Here is a 24802-nt window from a genome sequence, read left to right as displayed (position 1 = left end):
AGTGCCATCACACTTGGGCCGATCAGGCCTAATGGGCCTTTTGAATGCCAGGGACTGACAATTATGCAGACTGGAAGCTATGGCAAAAAGAAGTTGCCACTATGCCATGCTGCCCCCTGGGATTTTGCATATGGCACTTGCCTTGATACATGGAGATTCCTGAGGCTAACAGGATCTGATTCACAGACAGATCAACTAAGTGAAAGTCTGATGAGGTGCCCTGAGCCATTTGCAGCAGTGCAACCACACACACACAAAAAAACTCTGTTTAAAACTTTGCAGCCTGGGCAAAATTGTGAGACCCCATCTCTACAAAAAATAAAAATTTAGCCAGGCATAGTAGTGCGTGCCTGTAGTCCCAGCTACTCGGAGGCTGAGGCAGGAGGATTGCTTGACCCCAGGAGGTTGAGGCTGCAGTGAGCTGTGATTGTGCCACTCCACTCAGCTTGGGTAACAGAGTGAGAACCCGTCTCAAAACAAAAACAAAAACGAAAACAAAAAACTTTGCATCATGCAGACCCAGGGGAAGGGGAGAAGACCTTCTACTCCTAAGTCCAGCACCAAGGCAAATGGAGCAGAAGGCCTACCAACACCCGAAGCTGAAAAAAGTCCTCCCACCTCCCAACTCCACATCTTCCATCCCCTACCCAGCAGCACCAGATGGAACCAGGGAAGCAACATCTGCCCCTGGCACCAATAAAGACTGAGATAACGCCCTAATGGAACCAGGCAAATGAAACAGACCAGAAGGACACTGTAAGGTCTCTGTAAACAAAATTGTCATCGGAGGCTGGGTGTGGTGGCTCACACCTGTAATCCCAGCACTTTGGGAGAGTGAGGTGGGAGGATCACTTGAGCCCAGGAGTTTCAGACCAGCTCAGGCAGCATAGCAAGACCTCGTCTCTACTAAAAATTAAAATATTAACCAGGCATGGTGGCACGTGCCTATAGTCCCAGCTACTCAAGAGGCTGAAGAAGGAGGGTCCCTTGAACACAGGAAGTCAAGGCTGCAACAAGCTATGATCATACCACTGCACTCCAGCCTGGGCAACAGAGCAAGATCTTGTCTCTACGAATTTTTTTTAATTGTCATTGGAACCTGAATGCTAAACCTAAACAGAATGACTGCCTACTAAAATAGAGATTTAAATAGGACCCTGAATGTCCTAGCATATAGACGAAATGTCCAGGATACAATAAAAAATCAGATGTCATAACAAAACCCAGAGAAATCACAATGTAAATGAAAGGAGACCATCAATAGAAGCCAATAGTGGCTGGGCAGGGTGGCTCACAGCTATAATCCCAGCATTTTGGGAGGCCAAGGCAGGCGGATCACTTGAGCCCCGAAGTTCAAGACCAGCCTGGACAACATGGTGAAACCTCATCTCTACAAAAAAAAAAAAATAAACAAACAGAAAAATTAGCCAGGCGTGGTGGCACATGCCTGTAGTCCCATCTACTCAGGAGGCTGAGCTGGGAGGATCACCTGAGCCCAGGTTAAGTTGAGGCTGCAGTGAGCCATGATTGTGCCACTGCACTCCAGCCTAGGCAACAGAGTAAGACTCTGTCTCAAAAAAACAAAAACAAAAACAAAACAAACAAACAAACAGGCCAGGTGCAGTGGCTCACACCTGTAATCCCAGCACTTTGGGAGACCGAGGCGGGTGGATCACTTGAGGTCAGGAGTCCGAGACCAGCCTGACCAACATGGTGAAACCCCCGTCTCTACTAAAAATACAAAAATGAGCCGGGTGTGGTGGCAGGCACCTGTAATCTCAACTACTCAGGAGGCTAAGACAGGAGAATCGCTTGAACCTGGGAGGCAGAGGTTGCAGTGAGCCAAGATCATGCCACTGTACTCTAGCTTGGGTGATAGAGCAAGACTCAGTCTCAAAAAAAAAGCCAAAAAACAAAACAGAGAAACAGAAGCCAATAACAAGATGAATCAGATGCTGGAATTATCTGACAAGGATTTTAGAGTAGTCATCATAAAAATGATTCAATAAGGAATTACAAATAAACTGGAAACAAAAGAAGAAATAGAAATCCTTGTGCCAGGCGTGGTGGCTCACGCCTGTAATCCCAGCACTTTGAGAGGCCAAGGCAGTTGAATCATTTGAGCCCAGGAATTTGAGACCAGCCTGGGCAACATGGTGAAGCCCCACCTCTACAAAAAATACAAAAAGTAGCCAGGTATGATGGTGTGCACCTGTGGTCCCAGCTACTTGAGAGGCTAAGCTAGGAGAATCAATTGAGCCCAGTAGGTTGAAGCTGCAGTGAGCTGTGACTGCACCACTGCACTCCAGCCTGGTCAATAGAGTGAGACCCTGTTAAAAAATAAATAAATAAATAAATGAAAAAAAAAACAAGAAGGAAAATCTCACCATATAGATGATATAGAAAAAGAACCAAATAGAAATGATAGAAATAAAAATTATAAATGAAAGTTAAAACTGATCAGGTGCGGTGGCTCACGCTTGTAATCCCAGCACTTTGGGAGGCCTAGGCGGGCAGATCACATGGTCAGGAGTTCGAGACCAGCCTGACCAAGGTGGTGAAACCCCTTCTCTACTAAAAATACAAAAATTAGCCGGGTGTGGTTGCACACATCTGTAATCCCAGCTACTCAGGAGGCTGAGTCAGAAGAATTGCTCAAACCCAGGAGGCAGGGGTTGCAGTGAGCCAAGATCGCGCCATTGCACTCCAGCCTGGGCGACAGAGGGAGATTCTTAAAAAAAAAAAAAAAAAAAAAGTAGGCGCTGTGGTTCACGCCTGTAATCCCAACATTTTGGGAGGGCGAGGTGGGTGGATCACCTGAGGTCGGGAGTTCGAGACCAGCCTGACCAAAATGAAGAAACCCTGTCTCTACGAAAAATACAAAATTAGCCAGGCATGGTGGCGCATGCCTGCAATCCCAGCTACCCAGGAGGCTGAGGCAGGAGAATCACTTGAACCTGGGAGGCAGAGGTTGTGGTAAGCCGAGATCGCGCCATCGCACTCCAGCCTGGGCAAAAAAAAAAAAAAGTTAAAACTAATGCAAAGGGTTCAATGGCAGGATGAACGTGACAGAGAAGTGACTTGGCAGACAGAACAGTAGAAATTGTCCAATCTCATCAACAGGGGCAAAATACACTAAAAAAAGATGGACAGTCTCAGAGACCTACAGAGCAATAACAAAGATCTAAGATTTATATCACTAGACTGGACTTCTACAAGTAGACAAGAAACAGAGTAGTGATGAAAAAATATTGGAAGAAATAATGGCTGAAAGTTTCATATATATATATATATTTTTTTAATTTTTTTTTCTCGAGACAGAGTCTCCCTTTGTTGCCCAGGTTAGAGTGCAGTGGTGCTATCTCAGCTCACTGCAACCTCTGCCTCGTGGGCTCAAACAATTCTCCTGCCTCAGCCTCCTGAGTAGCTGGGACTACAGGCGTGTGCCACCACGCCCAGCTAATTTTTTTTTTTTTTTCAGTAGAGACGTGGTTTCACCATGTTGACCAGGCTGGTCTCAAACTCTTGACCTCAGGTGATCCACTCACCTCGGCCTCCCAAAGGGCTGGGGTTACAGGCATGAGCCACTGCACCCGGCCCAAGCTTCCCAAATTGGGCAAAAGACATAAACCTACGGATTGAAGAAGCTGAGCAAACCCCAGTAGGGTAAACCAAACAAAACCCACGCCCATATGTCATCATTTAACCTCTAAACGCTAAAAACAAAGGAAAACCCTTGAAAGCAGCTAGAGAGAAATGACACATGAGGCATAGGGGACACTGATTAGAATGACAGTGGCGTTCTCATCTGAAACTAGGGAAACTGAAAGGAAGTGGCATGATATTCTTCAAGTACTGAAAGAACTGTCAACTGAGAGTCCTACATTGGGGAAAGTCTCTTTCAGGAATGAGAGGGAAATAAAGACATTCTCAGGCGAAGGAAAACTAAAACAAGCCTGTGTTAATCAGTTCAGGCTACCATGACGAAATACCATAGACTGGGTGGCTTGAACAACATGAATTCATTTCTCACAGTTCGGGAGGCTGGGAAGCCCTCAGTCAAGATGCTGGCTGATCTGGTTCCCAGAAAGGGCTCTCTTAGCAGCTTGCAGAGGGCTGCCTCCTGGCTGTGTCCTTCCATGGTGGGAGGAGAGAGAAGGGTAGGGGAAACAAGCTTTCTGGTGTCTCTTATAAGGGTACTCATCCCATTACAAGGGCCCGTGATGACCTCATCTAAACCCAATTACTTCCCCAAAGTCCCACATCCAAATACTGTCACATAGGGGGTGAAGTCTTCAACACATGAATTTTGGGGGAGACAAAATTCAGTCCATAGCAAATTTGTTTCTAGGACATCTGCTATTAAAGAAAGGTGACAGGAAGTTCTTCAAACAGAAGTGAAATAACAGATGAAGGCTTGGAACTTCAGAAAGGAAAAGAGAACAACAGAATGGGTTAAAACAGGAGTAAATACTCTCCTCATGAGCTTTTTTTTCTCTCATGAGGTTTTAAAACCATATTTGATGGTTGAAGCAAAACATTGTAACAACATTTGATACGGTTTTCAATGTATATAGAGAGAACACTTAGGACAATTACATTTTGAAAATAGGATAGGTAAAGGGATCTAAAGGGAAGTAAATTCCTCCACGTCAATTACAGTGGTAAAACACTGACATCGGTGGACTGTGATAAGTTACACGTGCAAGTTGTAATACCTAGAGCAATCACTAAGAAGACCATACAAAGTGATTGTCGTAGTACATTCTGTGCTGCTGTAACAGAATACCTGAGATTGGATAATTTATAAAACACAAAACTTTATTTCTCACAGTTCTGGAGGCTGAGAAGTCCAAGATCCAGTCACTAGCAGGTTTGGCATCTGGGAAGGGCTGCTCTCTGCTTCTAAGATTGTGCCTTGAATGCTGCATCCTCTGGAGTGGGGGAACACTGTGTCCTCACATGGCAAAAAAAGGGGAAAGGGCAAAAAGGGAGGTATTCCCTCCATGAAGCCCTTTTCTAACAGTATTAATCTGTTCATAAGGGCAGAGTCCTCTTGACCTAAACACATCCCAAAAGACCCCACCTCCCAACACTGCTGCATTGGGGATCAAGTTTAGACATGAATTTTTGGAAGGGACACAAACATTCAAATCATAGCAGTGATATGCCCAAAAATTATATAAATAAGTCAAAATGGAATTCTAAAAACAATGGTCATGTACCCACCCCAAGGAAGGCAAAGGGAGAGAAACAAAGAAATGAGAATCAGAGGGAACAAACAGAAAAAAATAATAAAATATACAAATTTAAACCACAATGAGATATCTCCTCACACCTGCCAGAATGGCTATTATCCAAAAGACGAAGTTGGGCACAACAGTGGATGCCTTTAGTATCAGCTACTAGGGAAGCTGAGATGGGAGGATTGCTTGAGCCCAAGAGTTCTAGGCCAGCCTGGGCAACACAGTGAGACCCCTACAACTTCTTTTTTTTTCTTTTTTTTTTTTTTTTGAGACAGAGTCTTGCTCTGTTGCCCCAGCTGGAGTGCAGTGGTGGGATCTCAGCTCACCACAACCTCTGCCTCCTGGGTTCAAGCAATTCTCCTGCCTCAGCCTCCCGAGTAGCTGGATTACAGGCGCGCACCACCACGCCTGGCTAATTTTTGTATTTTTAGTAGAGACAGGGTTTCACCATGTTGGTCATGCTGGTCTCAAACTCCTGACCTCGTGATCCCCCCACCTCAGCCTCCCAAAGTGCTGGGATTACAGGTGTGAGCCACCGCACCCAGACCATAAAATACAATTTTAAAAAAGATGAAAGATAACAAATGTTGGTGAGAATGTGGAGAACAGGGAACCCTTACACACTGTTGTGAAGAATGTAAACTTGTACAACCGTTACGGAAAATTGTATGGAGGTTCCTTAAAAATTAAAAATCCCACTTCTGGGTATACATCCAAAGGATTTGAAATCAATACGTTAAAATGATATCTGCACTCTTATGTTCATGATATCATTATTCATAATAGCCAAGATAAGGAATCAACCTGTGTCATCAACACATGAATGGATAAAGAAAATGTGGTAAATACACACAATGGAACACTATTCAGCCTTTAAAAGGAAGGAAATTCTGTCATTTGCACTAACATGGATGAACCTGCAGGACATTATGCTAAGTAAAATAAGCCAGACACAGAAAGACAAATACCACATGTTCTCATTTATGTATGAAATCTAAAACAATCAAATTCATAGAAGCAGAGAATAGAATCGTAGTTACCAGTGGCTGAGGGTGAGGGGAATAGGGAGATGTCGGTCAAAGGATACAAAGTTTCAGTTAGACAGGATAAAGTTTTTTGACAGCTTTTGCATAGTATGATTACTATAATTAATGATAGCATATTATATATTTTAAAATTGCTAACAGTAAATTTCAAATTTCTCATCACAAAAAATGACAAGTATTTGAAGTGATGAATATATTAATTAGATTGATTTAATCATTCCACATTGTATACATATATCCTAACATCACTTTGAACCCCATAGACACATACAATTATAATTTGCCAATTTACAATAAAAATAAAATTAAATGGCAGATACAAGCCTAAACATATTACTAATTACTTAACATGCACTTTTTTTGTTTGTTTGTTGTTTTGAGATGCAATCTCGTTCTGTCACCCAGGCTGCAGTGCAGTGGCGCAATGTCGGCTCACTGCAACCTCCGCCTCAGCCTTCAGTCGCTGGGATTACATGTGTGCACCACCTCACCTGGCTAATTTTGTATTTTTAGTAGAGAGGGGGTTTCACCATGTTGGCCAGGCTGGTCTTGAGCTCCTGACCTTAGGTGATCTGCCCGCCTCGGCCTCCCAAAGTGCTGAGATTACAGGCATGAACCATCATGCCTGGCCAACCTTGGCAAAGTAAACTTCAAAATTGATTGAGACCTCTCTGGGATACTTTTGGCCAGGCGCAGTGGCTCACGCCTGTAATCCCAGCACTGTGGGAGGCTGAGGAGGGTGGATCATCTGAGGTCAGGAGTTCCAGACCAGCCTGGCCAACGTGGGGAGACCCTGTCTCTACTAAAAATACAAAAATTAGCCGAGTTTGGTGAGCATGCCTGTAGTCCCAGCTACTCGGGAGGCTGAGGCAGGAGAATCACTTGAACCCAGGAGGCAGAGGTTGCAGTGAGCTGAGGTTGCTCCACTGCACTCCAGCCTGGACAACAGAGCAAGACTCTGTCTCAATAAAAAAATTAAAAACACAAATTACTAGTTACTTTAAATGTACATGATTTTTTTTTCCAACCTTGGCAAAGTAAGCTTCGAAATTGATTGAGACCTGTCTGAGATACTTTTTGGTTTACACTCTCTTACGAGGCTTCCCCTTCCTTACCTGGTCCTTTGGCTAAGGGAAAGAGGTTTCCCTGGGTCTCTGGGTCTTTGTTTGTTTAGAGATGGGGGTCTCACTATGTTGCCCATGTAGGATTTGAACTCCTAGGCTCAATCGAACCTCACGCCTCAGCCTCCTGGATAGCTGGGACTACAAGTGCGCACCACCGTGCCTGCCAGGCTTTCCTGGGTCTTTTTTGTCTGCACCGCTTGGTGTTCTGGGTTGCTGGTTTCTCCAGCACCTGGTCTTGGATACGTAAGAAAACCCACAGGGCTCAGCACCATGTCATTTCTCGAGTCTTACTCCCTAGCCATCTGCTGGCATGAGAATCGCTTGAACCTGGGAGGGGGAGGTTGCAGTGACCCGAGATCGTGCCACTGCACTCTGGCCTGGGCGACGGAGCAAGAGTCCGTCTCAAAAAGAAAAAAAAAAAAAAGTTTACTTGCCAAGGTTAAGGACAATGCCCACGAGACACATCTGTGCCTTTCTCCAAAGATGATTTTGAAGGCTTCGATATTTAAAGTGGAAAAGGGGGCGGAGGGGAAAGAGGGAGGAGGGTATGGGTCATCCACATGTTGCAAGAGGAAAGGAGCAGGTAGAGGAAGAGTCAATTATGTATTCATCTTGCACTCAGTAAATCACTTTACATAAGATAAGGGAGCACAGAGTAGCTACCCCTACAGATATTTAACCTTTTATCTGTAGCTATTGGCTTAGGAACAAAAGGAAAGACAGCTAGTTGCATGACTCAGCTTTCAGCTTAATTTTTTCCTTTTGGCAGAGTGAATTGGGGTCCTGCGTTTTTAGTTTCCTTTCACAAGGGGAAGAAAGGTAAATGTCAGAATTGATACATATGGGCTGGGCGCGGTGGCTCAGGCTTGTAATCCCAGCACTTTGGGAGGCTGAGGTGGGCGGATCACCTGAGGTCAGGACTTAGAGACCAGCCTAGCCAGCATGGTGAAACCCCGTTTCTATTAAAAATACAAAATTAGCTGGGCGTGGTGGCACATGCCTGTAATCCCAGCTACTCGGGAGGCTGAGGTAGGAGAATCACTTGAACCTAGGAGGCAGAGGTTACAGTGAGCCGAGATCACACCACTGCACTCCAGCCTGGACACCAGAGTGAAACTGTCTCAAAAAAAAAAAAAAAAAGATTTGATACACAACATATGAAGATACAAAAGGGCTTGACAACAAACTTGCTGTGTATATAACAAAGGCCAACAGGTTGCTTATGAAAGAAATGAAAATATTTTACCCCAGAATACATTTCTTTGACATATTTTGAAATGGCTGCCGCTTGGCCATCCTGACAGCAGCAGCCTTGCAGAGCTGTCTGAAGTGGGGAAAATGTGCATCTGTAGAGAATCTTCATGAATGTATCCATGCCCCCTCCCTTTCTCTGCCTTTCCCTGGATCCAGGAGAGATTGAGAATCTGGCACCTTTAAAAATCTTCACCATCAGGCTGAATGCGGTGGCTCACGCCTGTAATCCCAGCACTTTGGAAGACCAAGAAGGCCAGATCACCTGAGGTCAGGAGTTCGAGACCAGCCTGGCCAACGTGGCGAAACCATGTCTCTACTAAAGATACAAAAATTAGCCTGGCATGGTGGCAAGTACCTGTAATCTCAGCTACTTGGGAGGCTGAGGCAGGAGAATTGCTTGAACCCGGGAGGCGGAGGTTGCAATGAGCCAAGATCGCACCACTGCACTCCAGCCTGGGCAACAGACTGTTTCAAAAAGAAAAAACAAACAAACAAACAAACAAAAAAAAAAACACCTTCACCATCAATTCTCTCTGAGGGAGGAGGCTTCGTCTGCATAACAAGGCCACCTTTGCCAGCCAAGCCTCTTCTCCCCCTCCCATAATCTGGGTGACCAGAATCTAAAACCCCATTATGTCTGTAATCTCGAAGTGATATTTAAGGAGGCTCCTGTGTACACATGTTAAATACATCTGGATGCCTTTTCTCCTGTTAATCCATTCACCTCGTGTCAGTGATTTTCAGCGAACCTTTAGAGAGCCAGCAGCCTATGGCCCCCACACTTGAATTTCTGGCCATGTGTGATCTTCCATCTAAAGGTTTTATCCAGGGGAAAAAGCATCAAAGAGATTATTTTCATTTGATGAGGAGATATATAAAAGGGATTTAGAATTGATATGGTTTAGTCATGGAGATATGTGCTAGCTATGTGACTCTGGCCTAAAATTAACCATATTGTTTCTTCTTCTTCCCCTTCCCCTTTTTCCTCCTCCTCCTCCTCCTCCTCCTCTCCTTCTCCTCTTTCTTCTTCTTCTTCTTCTTCTTCTTCTTCTCCTTCTTCTTCTTCGAAGGAGTTCCCCTCTTGTCACCCAGGCTGGAGTGCAGTGGCGAGATCTCGGCTCCCGGGTTCAAGTGATTCTCCTGCCTCAACCTCCTGAGTAGCTGGAATTACAGGCACCTGCTACCACACCTGGCTAATTTTTTTTGTATTTTTAGTAGAGACAGGGTTTCATCATGTTGGCCAGGCTGGTCTTGAACTCCTGACTGCAGGTGATCTACCTGCCTCAGCCTCCCAAAGTCCAGGGATTACAGGCATGAGCCACTGTGCCCAGCTTTTTTATTTTTTATTTTGTAGACGGAGTCTTGCTCTGTCACCAGGCTGGAGTGCAGTGGCACAATCTCGGCTCACTGCAACCTCTGCCTCCCAGGTTCAAGGGATTCTCCTGCCTTAGCCTCCCAAGTAGCTGGGACTACAGGTGCATGCCACCACGCCCAGCTAATTTTTGTATTTTTTAGTAGAGACGGGGTTTCACCATGTTGGCCAAGATGGTCTTGATTTCTTGACCTCATGATCCACCCGCCTCAGCCTCCCACAGTGCTGGGATTACAGGCGTGAGCCGCCGCGCCCGGCCCACAGCTTTTTTTTTTTTTTTTTTAGAGACAGTCTGATTCTGTCACCCAGGTTGGAGTACAGTAGGTCGCAGCTCACTGCAGCCTTGAACTCCTGGGCTCAAGCAATCCTCCCCGCTCAGCCTCCCAAGTAGCTGGTACTACAGGTGTGTGCCATGATGACTGGCTATTTTTTCTTTCATTTTTTATTTTTGTAGAGACAGGGTCTCACTATGTTGCCAAGTCTGGTTTCAAACTCTTGGCCAGGCTGGTCTTGAACTCTTGACCTCAAGTGATCCTCCCACCTCGGCCTCCCAAAGTGCTGGGATTGCAGGTTTGAGACATCACACCTGGACTAATCATGATATTTCTGACAGTCATACGTTAGAAATTTCTAAAAATGGGCCAGGTGTGGTGGCTTATGCCTGTCATCCCAGCACTTTGGGAAGCCGAGGCAGGTGGATCGCTTGAGGTCAGGAGTTCAAGACCAGCCTGGCTAACATGATGAAACCCTGTCTCTACTAAAAATCCAAAAAATTAGCCAGGTGTGGTGGCATGCACTTGTAATTTCAGCTACTCGGGAGGCTGAGGCAGGAGTATGCTTGAACCCGGGAGGCAGAGGTTGCAGTGAGCTGAAATCGCACCACTGCCCTCTAGCCTGGGCAACAGAGCAAAATTCTGTCTCAAAAAAAAAAAAAAAAAAAGAAAGAAAAGAAAATTTTTTAAATGGAAAAGATAATTGTCATTTTTTGCTTATTTAGAAATAATGGAACTCTGCCTGTGAGAAGAAACCCTGAGTATATCTGCTTTAAGTTTTATTTATTTATTTATCTATTTACTTACTTATTTGAGATGGAGTTTTGCTCTTGTTGCACAGGCTGAAGTGCAATGGCGTGATCTCAGCTCACTGCAACCTCTGCCTCCCAGGTTCAAGCGATTTTCCTGCCTCAGCCTCCTGAGTAGCTGGAATTACAGGCACCCACCACCACACCCAGCTAAGTTTTGTATTTTTCGTAGAGATAGGGTTTCGCCATGTTGGCTGGGCTGGTCTTGAACTCCTGACCTCAGGTGACCCGCCTGCCTCAGCCTCCCAATGTGCTGGGATTACAAGCATGAGCCACCGTGCCCGGCCAAGTTATTTTTATGTTCTCTTAGAGTAGGGCCCAGCAATCAATGACCTGTGACCAAATATGGACCACTGTTTTTGTTTTTGTTTTTGTTTTTGTTTTGAGACGGAGTTTCACTCTTGTGGAACAGGCTGGAGTGCAATGGCGCGATCTCGGCTCACTGCAACTCTGCCTCCTGGGTTCAAGTGATTCTCCTGCCTCAGCCTCCCGAATAGCTGGGATTACAGGCATCCGCCACCATGCCCAGCTAATTTTTTGTATTTTCAGTCGAGACAGGTTTCACCATGTTGGCCAGGCTGATCTCGAACTCCTGACCTTGGTGGACTGCTGCTTTTGTAAATAAAGTTTTATTGGAATAAAAAAAATGATTAGCATTTCTATATATTATCACCAAAATTTGAAACACAATACCATACATAATTGCTCTAGAGAAGATAAAATACTTAGGTATACAGCTAACAAAACATGTAAAGGGTTAGTATTTTTAAAATTACAAAATATAGGCTGGGCATGGTGGCTCACGCCTGTAATCCCAGCACTTTGGGAGGCCGAGGCAGGCAGATCACCTGAGGTCAGGAGTTCAAGACCAGCCTGGCCAACATGGTGAAACCCCGTCTCTACTAAAAAATACAAAAATTAGCCAGGCATGGTGGCGCACGCCTGTAATCCCAGCTACTCGGGAGGCTGAGGCAGGAGAATCGTTTGAACCTGGGAGGCAGAGGTTGCAGTGAGCAGAGATTGCGCCATTGCACTCCAGCCTGGGTGACAGAGTGAAACTCCTTCTCAAAAAAAAAAAAAAATTACAAAATATAAATGAAAGAAATCAGAGGAGATCCAAATAAATAGAGAGACATATCATGTTCATGGATTGGAAGACAACACGGTAAAAAGGAGTGGAGTGCAGTGGCTCATGCCTGTAATCCCAGCACTTTGGGAGGTCAAGGTGGGAGATGGCTTGAGGCCAGGAATTCAAGATCAGCCTGGGCAACATGGTGAAACCCTCTCTCTACCAAAAATACAAAAATTAGTCAGACGTGATGGTGTGCACCTATAGTCCCAACTAGTCAGGAGGCTGATGTAGGAGGATTGCTTGAGCCCAGGAGAAGATCAAGGCTGTAAGTGAGCTGTGATTGCACCACTGCACTCCAGCCTGGATGACGAAGCGAGACTCTGTCGCAAAAAAAATAAAGGCCAGAAAAAGCCAAACCTGCTGGGTTACATTCCCCGAGGGTTGGGCACTCTTGGTCACAAGATGTTCATGGTTGAGGGAACAAGGTAATAATGTTAACTAACTGAATAAAGACCCAGAACTTATGGAAATGTCCTAGTACTTTAAGAAGAAAAAGCATTCTTAGTTTAAGAATAGGTTTTGCTTTAGAGATAAGAGTAACATAGGAAAGTGACAACACTAATAGTCTGTCACAAGCTGATCAGAAACCTTTGCTGTAGAGTACACTATTATTTTTTATTATTTTATTTTTTTTATTTATTTTTGAAACAGGACCTTGCTCTGTCACCCAGGCTGGAGTGCAGTGGCACAATCTTGGCTCACTGCAACCTCAACCTCCCTGGCTCAGGCGATCCTCCCACCCCAGTCTCCCCAGTAGCTGGGACTACAGGTGTACATGCATCACCATGCGCAGCTCATTTTTTTGGTACTTTTTATAGAGACAGGGTCTTACTATGTTGCCCAGGCTGGTCTCAAACTCCTGAGCTCAAGTCATCCTTTCGCCTCGGACCCCCCAAAGTGTTGAGATTTCAGGTGTGAGTCACCACCCCCAGCCTAAAAAATCCTCATGACCTCAGGCCTGACGAAGTGTCATACATAACGCAAAATCATAATCTATAAAATGAAAATGTGATTAATTGAGCTTCATCAAAACCAAAAATTTTTGCCCTCAGAGAGACTCTTTGAAGAGAATGAAAAGACAAGCTACAGACTGGCAGAAAATATTTTGACAGTTTCTTATAAAACTAAACATGAAACTACCATATGACCCGATATTACATTCCTGGGCATCTAGCCCAGAAAAATGAACATTTACATTCACACAGAAACCTGTACAATGAATGGCTTTAGCAGCTTTATCCATAACAGCCAAAAACTGGAATTAGCCCAGATGTTGTTCAGTGAGTGAATGGTTAAATAAACAGTGGTACCTCCGTATGATAAATGCAACAGCTTAGTTGGATCTCAAAGGAATTATGCTGAGTGGAAAAAAAGCCAATCTCAAAGGTTTTATACTGTGTGATTCCATTTATGTACCATTCTTGAAATAACACAATTACAGAAATGGAGAAAAGATTAGTGGTTGTCAAGGAGACAGGGATGGGGAGAAGGGCCTATGAAAGGCTAGCAGCAGCTCTTTGTGCTGAGGGAATGATTCTGAATCTTGATGGTAGTGGTCGTTATATGAATCTACGCATGTGATTTGTGTAACGAATGATTTGTGTGTGTGTATGTATGTGGTGCAATTGCATAGCAGTACACACACACACACACACACACAAATGAGTGCTTATAAAACTGAAGAAATTTGAGTTAAATTGGTGGATTGTACCAGTATCAATTTCCTCCTTTTGATATTATACTATAGTTATCAAAAATTGCATAAATTATTCACAGAACCTCTGTACTTTTTTTTTCCAACTTCAACAGAATGTATCATTATTTCTAAATTAACAGTTAAAAAGGCAGTGAGTGGTGGCTCCCACTTGTAATCCCAGCACTTTGGGAGACTGAGGCAGGAGGATCACTTGAGCTCAGGAGTTTGAGACCACCCTGGGCAACATAGGGAGACCTAATCTGTACAAAAAAAAAAAAAAAAAAAAAGGCCAGGCGCGGTGGCTCACGCCTGTAATCCCAGCACTTTGGGAGGCTGAGGTGGGCAGATCACGAGGTCAGGAGATGGAGACCATCCTGGCTAACACGGTGAAACCCCGTCTCTACTAAAAATACAAAAAATTAACCAGGCGTGGTGGTGGGCACCTGTAGTCCCAGCTACTCGGGAGGCTGAGGCAGGAGAATGGCATGAACCCAGGAGGCAGAGCTTGCAGTGAGCCGAGATTGTGCCACTGCACTCCAGCCTGGGCAACACAGCAATACTCCATCTAAAAAAAAAAAAAAGAAAGAAAGAAAAGAAAAGAAAAATTAATTAGCTGGACGTGGTGGCACATACCTGTGGTCCCAGCTACTCAGGAGGCTGAGGAGGCAGGATCACTTGAATCCTGGAGGTCAAGGCTGCAGTGAGCCATGATTGTGCCACTGCACTCCAGCCTAAGCAACAGAGCAAGACCCTGTCTCAAAAAAAAAAAAAAAAAAGATAACTGGATCACCAAGGTTTAGCTCCTAGTAAAGTATATATCTAAAACAGGCAATATAGTCTCTAAATGTGGCAATTGTCCAAAAAGCATTTCCCATTTGGATAAAATGTTTAATTATGCAGTCAAAGGGAAGAGGAAGAGGCCCAGACTGGCCGTAAGAGACCCAAACCACACAAGGAATTCTTTCCACTCTACCTTTGTCTCTTCCATGCCCACCTCATGGAAACTGGGTTCTGGATTTTGCGAGTGGCCTAGGAGAGGTGTAGAGCTGGAACCATTTTTGTCTCTCTTGGGCTCTTGCTTACAGTTCTCTCCTGGCCTGACCTGTCATCTCAGAATGCTTTGGTAACCTTGTCCTAGACTTCAAATCAAAAAAAATGCTGCTGTGGAGGTGGCTACAAACCTATTAGCAAAATCCAGTGCACTCTGAGGAGGCCATAGCAGTGGGGCCCTGCTGACTCTAAGGGCTGTCTAAGTCTGTTTGGGCTACTGTAACCAACTGCCACAAAGTAGGTGGCTTGTAAACAACAGAAATGCATTTCTCATGGTTCTGGAGGCTGGGAAGTCCAAGACCAAGGCATCAGCAGATTCAGTGTCTGGTGAGGACCTGCTTTCTTGTTCACAGATGGCACCTTCTCACTGTGTCCACATATGATGGAAGGGGCCAACAAGCTTCCTTGGGCCTGTTTCATAAGGGCACTAGTCCCTAATCACTCAATCACCTTCTAAAAGGCCACACTTCCTAATTCCATTACCTTGTGATTAGGATTTCAACAGATGAATTTTTGGGGGTCAGGAGGATGCAAATATTAAGGTCATAGTGATAGCCTCATTGTCCTCTTCAGAAGCACTCCAGCCTGCTTTGCAGCTGTTTACTTTTTAATTTTTAATTTTTATTTTTATTTCTATTTGAGATGGAGTCTCACTCTGTTGCCCAGGCTGGAGTGCAGTGGTGCAATCTTGCCTCACTGTAACCTCTGCCTCCTGGGCTCAAGCAATTCTCCTGCCTCAGCCTCCTGAGTAGCTAGGATTACAGGCATGCGCCACCACACCCAGCTAATTTTTGTGTTTTTAGTGGAGACAGGGTTTCTCCATGTTGGCTGGGCTGGTCTTGAACTCCTGACCTCAAGTGATCTGCCCACCTTGGCCTCCCAAAGTGCTGGGATTATAGGCGTGAGCCACTGCGCCCGGCCTGCAGCTATTTAATTCTGCTCAAAGAGTTTGTTTCCCATAACGGACACACAATTCATTTATTCCTGTTTTAATAAATGATTCTGGCCAGGTATGGTGGCTCATGCCTGCAATCACAGCACTTTGGGAGGCCAAGGCAGGAGGATCACTTGAGCCCAGGAGTTCAAGACCAGCCTGGACAACATAGGGAGAAGCCATCTCTTAAAAAAATAATAGTAATAAATAGGAACAGCAAACCTAATACTACATGTTCTCACTTATAAGTGGGAGCTAAATGATGAGAACTCATGTACACAAAGAAGGGAGCAATAGACACTGAGGCCTACTTAAGGGTGGAGGGTGGGAGGAGAGCGAAGATCAGAAAAAGTAACTATTAAGTACTAGGCCTCTGGGTGATGAACTAATCTGTACACCAAACCCCCATGACATGAGTTTACCTATATAAGAAACCTGCACTTGTACCCCTGAGCATAAAATAAAAGTTAATAATAATATTAATAATAACAAAACTAGCTGGGCATGCCTGTAGTCTCAGCTATTTGGGAGGCTAAGGTGGGAAGACTGCTTAAGCCCAGGGGGTCGAGGCTGATAGAGCAGGAGCACCATCATCTCAGACAAACACTGCCACTTTAAATTCCAGCTGCCTTTCCAGCTTCATGCATTTCAAGGAAATCACTTCTCTTCTAACTACAAGCAGCCAGAAAAGAATAGACAGTAAAACACAGATAAGACAGCTCAGGCACAGAGGAAGGCAGGGAGAAAGTCTCTTGGGTAACTGTCAAACTTCACCCCCATACAATGGGGCCCCAGTAAAACAGTGGGCCTTAATAAGCACATTCCTTTCCCTTCAGGTGCACTAAGATAGGGAAGCTAAAGGCAGACTCGGGAGGGGGGGTATGCCTGCAGCTGCAGGAAGATGTATGTGAACAGACACAAAACTCTCCCTCCCAGATAAGCACAACAAAGAGACACAGAAGCAGTCCAAGCCTCTGATAAACTCTCCCGCCCTGAACCCTTAAAGTAAGAGAGTGCAGCTTCTGAACTAACTCTGCCAGAAGTCCCTCCCAGGTTTAAAATAAACCTGTTGACTGTCAAGCTACCCTCCGTGTTTCTCTCCTCTTTCTTTAATTCTTACATTTGATGCTGAAACCCGGGACGGGTGTTGGGAGGAAAGACTCTCTTGCAACCCAGGAACCAATGGGCAATGGCAGCGCATCCTGAGTTAACTTCCAGATCCTGAGGGTCTCTGGCCACCCGCCCAGTCTTTTCTTTCACTTCAATTTTCGAGCGATTTGCATGAGGAGGACAACTGACCTGAAGGGGACTGCAAGGCTCAGGCTGGGACTACTCCCTGGTGAGCTTTCAAAACACTCAGGTCTCAGGAATTCACCTCTGACCGCCTGTAACAGGTATTTCGCTCCCTAACCCTTGCTCCTTCTTCCTCCTTCTTCTCTCTCTCTCTTTCTCTCTCTCTTCCTTGTGTGCCTTCAGTCTGGGAGGCCCTTTGCTGATTCCAACTGGAACATCTAACATGGGACACTAATTCAGCTGACTGGTAAGGTCTTCCTTCTCCTGGCTTTCTCCCAGTACCTGCCATCCAGGTCCCCAGAGGACCAACAGGACTAAGCTAGAGGAAATCTTAGGGATGCCCAGTTTCTTCTTAGCTTAACCATCCTCTTTTGGAAAGAAGATTCTGGGTCTCTGTCTTTTGTCTGGGGACGCCTAGAACAAAACAGACACCCTCAGCTTCCTCTTACCAGTCCACATGGGTGCCAAACAATCCCACATTCCTACGTCCTCCCCACTGGGCTGTCTCCTTCACAACCTCACCAAACTTGGCTTACGGGGGACCCTAAAGCCAAAACATTTAATTTTCCACTGCAACATGGCTTGGCCCCAATACAGATTAGATAACAACAGACGATGGCCCAAAAATGCTACCTTTAACTTTCAAATTCTCAGGGACCTTGACAACTTTATAACCAGTAATGGCAAATGGCAAACGATTCTCTATATTCAGGCTTTTTTCTACCTTAGATCCCGACCCTCCCTATGTCAAGCTTGCATCCCTCATGAAATCCTTCTTCTTAATGAAAACTCTCCCCAGGTCTCTCCTTCCCCTGGAACCCCTTCCTCTGAAACTCTTTTTGACCCTGCAAATGAACCCCCTCCATGTTCTCAACCCCCTGCACCCGCTCCTCGCCTGTCCGAACCCTCCGCCCCAGCAGCCCCTAACCCTGCCCCTCCTCCTTCTCCACCTGTAACCCGTTCAAAAACTACTCCAGCCAGTCAAACCACCTCTGCCATTCTCCCTCTCCGGGAAGTGGCTGGAGTTAAAGGCATTACTTGCGTTCATGTTCTTTTCTCCATGTCTAATCTGTCGCAAATTGAACAGCATCTGGGATCTTTCTCTGAAAATCCGTCTCGTTATCACAGGAAATTCCTGCACATAACTCAATCCTTTAATTTAACTTGGCATGACTTTTATATAATTCTAACCTCCACCCTCACTCCTGATGAAAAAGAGCTCATCTAGCATTCAGCTGAAGTCCACACAGATGAACTCTATAATCAAGCCCCTATACAAAATCCAGTGGCTAATGATGCAGTCCCCCGTAGAGACTCAGATTGGACTTACCAACAGGGAGACAATGGCATCAGATGAAGAGACCACATGATTAGCTGTCTCCTTGTGGGTATGGACAAAAATGCCCATAAGGCAGTTAATTATGAGAAACTTAGAGAAATTACACAAGAGCCCCAAGAAAATCCTGCCCTTATCACACCTCACTGAAGCTATGCTAAAATATGCCAATTTGGACCCAGAATCTAGAGAAGGTCAAACTTTTCTCCACCTCCAATTTGTTTCCCAATCTGCCCCAGATATCTGGAAAAAATTACAAAACTTAGAGGAGGGTCCCCAGACATCCCGGCAGGACCTCCTAAATGTAGCCTTCTGTGTCTTTAACAACAGAGATGAGGAACAAAAAATTCAAAAAGACAAACATCTCTCATTAAAAAGCCAGATGCTTGCCTCTGCTATCCAAAACCCAGTTACACAAAAGCCTCCCAATGACCCAAAAGAAAACTACCCGACCCCTCTGGGAGTCTGTTTCCGACGTGGCAACTCTGGACACTGGGCAAAGGCTTGTCCTAACCACTGGTCCCCCACCAGACCGTGTCCAACTTGTGGTCTTTGGGGACACTGGAAAGTGGACTGCCCCCAACAGGGACACCCTCCCCGTTTGGGTGCGGCTCATAATAAAGCCCCCTGACCATCACAGGAGGAAATCTCTTCACTGCTGGCGCTGACAACGGAAGACTGAGGGTGACCGGGATCCTTCACCCCCATGCCTAGTGAGTCCACAGAACCCAGGGTAATTGGGATGGTGTCCGGTAAGATTATTTCCTTTCTTTTGGATACCGGGGTGAGTCTTTCGGTGTTAACTGAATATCAAGGCCCATTAAAACACTCATCCATTTCTGTTGTTGGCATGAAGGGCACACAAAAAAACCCACACAAAACACCACCTCTATACTGCTCATTTCAGGGTGTCACCTTCACTCACTCTTTCTTGGTCATCCCTCATTTTCTCACTCCTTTACTAGGAAGGGACATCCTACACAAATTAGGGGGAATCATCCATTTGTCAGCCTTACACCAAAGCCACCCTTATTTATTATTATGTCAAGAACAGAACCCCTCCTCAGACACTCAACATCAAATAGACTTAAACCCCAAATTCCTTAGCCATGTAAATCCCATGGTATGAAACACTAACTCCCTCATAATTGCTACCCACCATTCTCCAATTCAAATTTCACTGAAGGATCCTAAGTGCCATATAGTGGTCCCACAATACCCCCTCAACTCTAATGGATTGCGGGAACTCAAACCCATCATCTCCTGACTTTTGACTGCCAATATTTTAATCCCCACCCATTCTCCCCACAATACCTCTGATTCTCCCAATTAAAACACCAGATGGCTCCTATAGACTGGTTCAGGATTTGCAACAAATCAACTCTGCTATTGTTCCTGTTTATCCTGTTGTCCCAAACCCCCTCACCCTCCTACCACGAATTCCTCCCAACACTAGCCATTTCTCTGTATTAAACCTATTAAACCTCAAAGATGCCTTTATTTTTCTATCCCTCCACTCAAAACCTTTTTGCTTTCACTTGGACTAACCCTGATACAGGCCGCTCCCAACAACTCACATGGACTGACCTCCCTCAGGGGTTTAGGGACAGCCCTCACTATTTCAATCAGGTACTTCAATTGGGTCTTTCCCAACTATCTCTACAGCCTAGCATTTTGCTTCAATATATGGGCAACTTACTTCTTTGCAGCCCCTCTCTAGAACATTGCATTCAACACACCACCAAGCTTTTAAATTTTCTGGCTGAATGCAGGTACCAGGTATCAAAAGGGAAGGCCCAATTGATCTCCCCAAAAGTTTCATACTTAGGACTAATCATAACTCCAAATACCCAAGAAATTCTGCTGGCACAAAAGCAAGGCATTCAACAAATCCCATTTCCCAAAACAAAAAGGAACTTACTTTCTTTCCTTGGATTAGTGGGATATTTCTGATTATAGACAGCAAATTTTGCCATTATTGCTAAACCCCTTTATGAACACACAAAAGGAAATCTTGACCAACCACTCATTTCCACCCCAGACCTTTATCATGCTTTCTCTCACCTAAAACGTGCCTTATTACAGGTCCCTGCTTTAGGCCTTCCAAACCCCCTGAAACCCTTTCACCTATATTTACACAGTTCTTATAATCAGGCCCTTGGACTATTAGCCCAACCTATGGGAGATTCTCTCCAACCAGTGGCATATTTTTTAAAACAACTAGACCTCATTTATAAAAGCTGACCCCTTTGCTTGAAAATTTTGGCCACAGCCTCTCTGATCATCCCTGAGGCACAAAAACTCACATTCTACGAACCCCTTCAGGTATTTTCTTCTCACAGTCTACAAGATATGTTCAGTCATAAGGTGCTCACCTCAATTTCATCCTCTCACTTGCAAGCCCTACTACATTCAATTCCCCTTCAACCCTCTATCTCTCTTCATAAATGCTTCCCCACCCCCAATCCCACCACTCTTTTACCTTTGGACCCCGACCAACACTCATGCTCTAATCTAATTGAAAGTTCGCTCACCATGTTTCACCACCTTACTTCCACTCACATAAAGGGAGCCCCAGATTGGTTTATAGATGGCAGCACATCAAAAAACCCTTCCCTTCAAGCAGGATATGCCATCATTGAGGAATATCATAATAATACCCACTCTTTCCCACCTAGAAGCATCGTAAAGGCTGCCCCTTTGCCTTTGGGCACATCCTCCCAGCAAGCAGAATTAATTGCCCTAATAAAAGAATTAACCCTAGCAGAGAGCATACAAGTTAATATATACACCGATTCTAAATATGCCTATAACATCATCCATTCCAATGCCCAAATTTGGAGCGAGTAGAGCTATCTCATGGCTAAAGAAACTCCGATAATTCGTGAAAAACCAATCCATCATTTGCTAAAGGCAGCTTTACTCCCAGAAAACTTTGCAGTTATCCATTGCAAAGGACATCAATCAAATAACAGCCACATTTCTTTAGAAAACTGTAAAGCTGACTGTTGGGCAAAACAAGCCTCAACCAATCATCCAATTCCCCAATACCTATTTCCCCTCATACAACATATCCCCTCCTTTTATGCAAAACACCAAAAACAACTAATCACGGTGGGGGCACAATTCAAACCCCCATACTGGTTCATAAAAAACAAATTAGTCCTACCTGACCCTGAAAAAACAACTCTTTTATGGGACATTCACAACCTCTTCCACACTAGCCATTCCCCTCTACAACATTTCTTAAGTTCCCATATACACATAGCCCCAGATATAAAGGAACAGTTAAAAGTCATTTCCCATCAATGCTCTATTTGCCAGAAAGCTTCACCCCACTCCAACACTAAACCCCCTTCTTTCCCATCCCATCTGGCCAGGGGACTCCTTCTAGGACAGGATTGGCAAATTAATTTTACCCATATGCCCCCAGTAAAAAAGGTTAAATTTCTTTTAGTTCTGGTCGATACCTTTTCAGGATGGATTGAGGCTTTTCTCACAACCAACAAACGAACTTCTACTGTCACCTCCAAATTAATAACAGAAATCAAACCCAGGTTCTGGGTGCCTTGTTCTTTTCAATCTGACAATGGTCCTGAATTCATTTCTCAAATTACTCAAACACTTGCACAAGCTCTACATATCACCTGGAAGCTACACATCCCCTATAGACCTCAATCTTCAGGAAAGGTTGAAAAAATGAATGGCATTCAAAAAACACCTCACCGGGTACTCGCTCCAAACACATAAAGACTGGGTCACACTTTTACCTTTGGCCCTTCTAAAAATTCAGGTGCTCCCATGTAAACCCTTAATGCTCAGCCCCTTTAAACTCATGTATGGGAAACCACTTGCCCTTTTTGTTCCATCTCAGGGTCAAGCACCACCTCTACCAACCCCTCTCGCTTGCCCTCTTCTGCATACCATCCACCATTTCATTTGGAATATGCTGACAAATACCTGCCACAACCCGCTGCCAACTCCTCTAATCCCTTCCTACAGCCAGAAGACTGGGTTCTCATAAAAAATCCCAGTCCTACCCCCAAATCCCCCCTCACGTCTAAATGGAAGGGACCTTACCAGATCATCCTTACCACACCTACGGCAGCAAAACTCTGGGGACTCCCTAACTGGATTCATTATACTTCTCTCAAAAAGAAAGACAAAAAAACCAATAAACTTCCCTTCACCACATGCTCAAACAACTGAATCTAAAACTCCTTCAGCCTTTTCTTGTGTCTCCACAGGACCCACTTCCCTTTGCCTCACCTGAATCCCAGAGGAAAAAAAGGAAAACTCCACATAAGCCGCTTATGTCTCTTTCTCTTCCAAACTTTCATCGCTTCCTAATCTGCCTTGCTACAGACCTTCAGTGGTACCCTTATGAAGCTCCCATTGCACATCCTGATCAGCTCCTTACTATTTTATGGGACCTATGGCTTCAAGGAACTTTCCAGGACTTTACTCCTACCCAAATAACCTTTTTCTCTTTTTGCTTGCTTCTTTTAATATAAATTCCCTAAGTACATCAATCTCACCAGTACAACCACTCCTCACTGCCCTCAAGCTCGAACACTCTATAAACCTTACACAGTCCCTCTTACTGCCAGCTAACTCTTCCCTTGCTTTGGAATGCTGGATGTGTTTATCACTGTCTTCCTCAGCTTACTCAGCCCTTCCTGCACCCCTTCATGACCTTTTAACTGGAAATATAACCCTAATTTATAAACTCCAAAAAGGAGTTTCCCTTTTTAAAAAAGTTGACACTCTAATCGGTGATTATCCCACTTCCAGGGCCAATCAGGCTAACAAATTATTTCAAACCTATTACAACTCCCTACAACGCCTTAAGCCCCAAGGCCCTCCCATTGAAGGGCCTATAACTAAACACACTCCCCTTTTTCAACAAGCCTCACTTTACTTTTCGGCCTCTAAGGGAAATATCCCTGTAGGGTCATTAACACTTAACCAATGCAACCGCCTATCCGCTATCGTTGTTAAACACCCCTCTGACTACCAAACTAATCAAATTAACTACCAAGTGTCACTTGAAGCAAATGGGAACATTTCTGCAACCGGCTCGTTTTACGGCCTCTCCCTTAACCAATGCCTCCAGGCCTAACCTGTGCTTTCCCTAATGCCCACCTTTTTCCATGGCTCAATATTAATGGCGCAACATCCGACCGCATTAAATGTGTAAAAAGTAACTCTTCCTATATCTCTACTACAGTAGGCGCCTCCCTGGCCTCCTCTTTGTCAGTCTGGAGTAATGAACCACAGGAAAAAAAAACAAAAAAACAAACCAACAAAAAACACCCCATCTTTAATTCACTTGTTCTCTTTCCATATTTCTGCCTGTGTTTACAGCAAAGTCTTGTTCTTTTTGTGTGGCAGCAACACCTATCTTTGTCTCCCCACCAACTGGACCGGAACCTGTACCCTAGTTTATCTATTTCCCTCCATCAGACTAGTTCCTCCTAATCAGCCTTTGCCCATCCCATCCGTCCAATATGTTAGAAAAAGATGGGCCATCCATGTCATTCCTTTAACGGCCGCCTTAGGTATAACCTCTGGACTTTGATTGGGAGCAAGCGGATTAGCCACCTCCTTAACATACTTTAAGGCTCTTTCAACAAAACTACAGGGCTCTTTAGAAGATATAGCCCGAAGCTTTATAAGAGTCCATGACCAACTAGACTCCTTGGCTGGAGTAGTCCTCCAAAACAGATGGGGACTAAATCTTATAATGGTTGAAAAAGGGGGCCTCTGCCTCTCATTGGGTAAGAAATGTTGTTTCTATCTCAACCAATCAGGCCTAGTAAGAAATGCTGCTGAAAAACTAAAAAGAAGGGCTAAAAAGCTAAGGGAATACCAAAAGAACCAAATAAATTCTTGGTTCAAAAACAAAATCATAGCATGAGTCATCCCATTCCTGGGTCCTCTCCTAGTAATATGCCTAGGACTAATGTTTTTATTCTGCCTAATTAACCTTTTTCAAAAAGTTTTAACTGACAGAATCATGGCCATTTTGCAACCACCCAAAAACATTTACAGATGGTGTTACTCCTGCAGTCAATCCGAGACCAAGAAACTCTCCACCCCACCTCAGCAGGAAGTAGCCAGAAAGAACACGTCGCCCCCTCATCCTTTTATAACTATAGGGTCTGCAATGACAGCGCAGGAGCACCGTCATCTTGGACAAATACCGCCACTTTCATTTCCAGCTCCCTTTCTAGCC

Source organism: Homo sapiens, chromosome X, assembly GCF_000001405.40.
Source record: "Homo sapiens chromosome X, GRCh38.p14 Primary Assembly".
Taxonomy (NCBI): Eukaryota; Metazoa; Chordata; class Mammalia; order Primates; family Hominidae; genus Homo; species Homo sapiens.
This window is presented reverse-complemented; position numbering follows the sequence as displayed.